Genomic DNA, 1,846 nt, shown 5'->3' with positions numbered 1-1,846 from the left:
CTTGCTGGCAAGGAGTTGTGTTCCTTTGGAGGAGAAGAGGTGTTCTGGTTTTTGGAATTTTCAGCCTTTCTGCTCTTGTTTCTCCCCATCTTTGTGGTTTTTTCTACCTTTGGTCTTTGATGTTGGTGACCTACAGATGGGGTTTTGGTGTGGATGTCCTTTTTGTTGATGTTGATGCTACTCCTTTCTGTTTGTGAGTTTTCCTTCTAACAGACAGGCCCCTTAGCTGCAGTTCAGTTGGAGTTTGCTGGTGGTCCACTCCAGATCCTCCTTGCCTGGGTATCACCAGCAGAGGCTGCAGAACAGCAAATATTACTGCCTGATCCTTCCTCTGGAAGCTTCATCCCAGAGGGGCACCCGTCTGTATGAGGTGTCTGTCAGCCCCTACTGGGAGGCGTCTCCCAGTCACGCTACACAGGGGTCAGGGACCTACTTGAGGAGACAGTCTGTCTGTTATTGGAGCTCGAATGTGCTGGGAGAACCACTGCTCTCTTCAGAGCTGTCTGGCAGGGACATTTAAGTCTGCAGAAGCTATCTGCTGCCTTTTGTTCAGATATGACCTGCCCCTAGAGGTGAAATCTAGAGAGGCAGTAGGCCTTGCTGAGCTGCAGTGGGCTCCACCCAGTTTGAGCTTCCCTGCCACTTTGTTTACACTGTGAGCATAGAACCACCTACTTAAGCCTCAACAGTGGCAAACGCCCCTCCCCCTACCAAGCTCCTGCCTCCCAGGTCGGTCTCAGACTGCTGCGCTAGCAGCAAGCAACGCTCTGTGGGCATGGGACCTGCTGAGCCAGGCATAGGAAGGAATCTCCTGGTCTGCCAGTTGCAGTGGCACAGTATTTGGGCAGGAGTGTACTGTTCCTCCAGGTACAGTCACTCACGGCTTCCCTTGGCTAGTAAAGGGAAATCCGCCAACCCCTTGCACTTCCCAGGTGAGGCAATGCCCTGCCCTGCTTCGGCTCGCCCTCCATGGGCTGCACCCACTGTCCAACTAGTCCCAACAAGATGAACCAGGTACCTCAGTTGGAAATGCAGAAATCACCCGTCTTCTGCATCGATCTCGTTAGGTGCTGTAGATCGGAGCTGTTCCTATTTGGCCATCTTGGAAGCGACTCTTGACATTTTATTTTTAAAGTAAACTTTTTATTCAATCAAACCATAGATGCATAAAAGCATACAGTTCATAAGGGAATAGCTTGATGAATTTTCATAAAAGCAGCATACCTGTATACAGTACCTAGATCAAAAAGCAAGATATTACTAGCACTCCCAAAAATCTCCCATGTGCCCCCTTCTAGGAACTAATCCCAAGGACACCCACCACTCTGACCTCCAACAACATGGATTGGCTTCGAGTGTTTTAAAGTTTATATAAATGGACATGCAAAATGCACTTTTGGTGTCTGGCTTCTTTTTCTCTCAACACTGAAATTCATCCTTATTGCTTGTGTAGTTTGTTCATTGTCACCATTGTGCAATATTCTGCTGCATAACTATACCACGCTTTACTTCTCCATTCTCTGTTGGTGGATTTTGGATTGGTTCCCAGGGTTTGGCTTTTGAAATAGTGCTATGAACATGAGGTCATACTTGTATGTGTCTTTCAGCAGCTATATGCACGCCTTTCTCTTGGGTGTATAACTAGAAGTGAAATTGCTGGGTTGCATGGCAATATGTATGTTTAACTTTATAAGAAACTGCCAGATAGTTTTCCAACATGGATATACCAACTTCCACACCCACCTCCAGTGACTTGATGTTCTGGTTTCCCCATAGCTTTGCTAACACTAGCTATAATTGCACCAGACAGTTTGCATGTGTCATTTTGATGCAGTCTCAGTAGTGG

At 47.2% G+C, this 1,846-nt stretch overlaps 2 annotated features.

Annotated features, from left to right (window-relative positions):
- Nucleotides 266-800: an enhancer, noted in NCBI's record as "H3K4me1 hESC enhancer chr7:36159874-36160408 (GRCh37/hg19 assembly coordinates)". NCBI's record gives its function as "activates a minimal SCP1, AML or CMV promoter by ChIP-STARR-seq in primed H9 embryonic stem cells {active_cell/tissue: H9 hESC(primed)}" and the evidence as "EXISTENCE:reporter gene assay evidence [ECO:0000049][PMID:30033119]".
- Nucleotides 801-1,336: an enhancer, noted in NCBI's record as "H3K4me1 hESC enhancer chr7:36159338-36159873 (GRCh37/hg19 assembly coordinates)". NCBI's record gives its function as "activates a minimal SCP1, AML or CMV promoter by ChIP-STARR-seq in primed H9 embryonic stem cells {active_cell/tissue: H9 hESC(primed)}" and the evidence as "EXISTENCE:reporter gene assay evidence [ECO:0000049][PMID:30033119]".

The sequence above is a fragment of the Homo sapiens genome, chromosome 7 (genome assembly GCF_000001405.40).
Source record: "Homo sapiens chromosome 7, GRCh38.p14 Primary Assembly".
NCBI classification, from domain to species: Eukaryota; Metazoa; Chordata; class Mammalia; order Primates; family Hominidae; genus Homo; species Homo sapiens.
The sequence above is the reverse complement of the archived record's forward strand: the minus strand, read 5'-3'. Positions and strand labels throughout refer to the sequence as shown.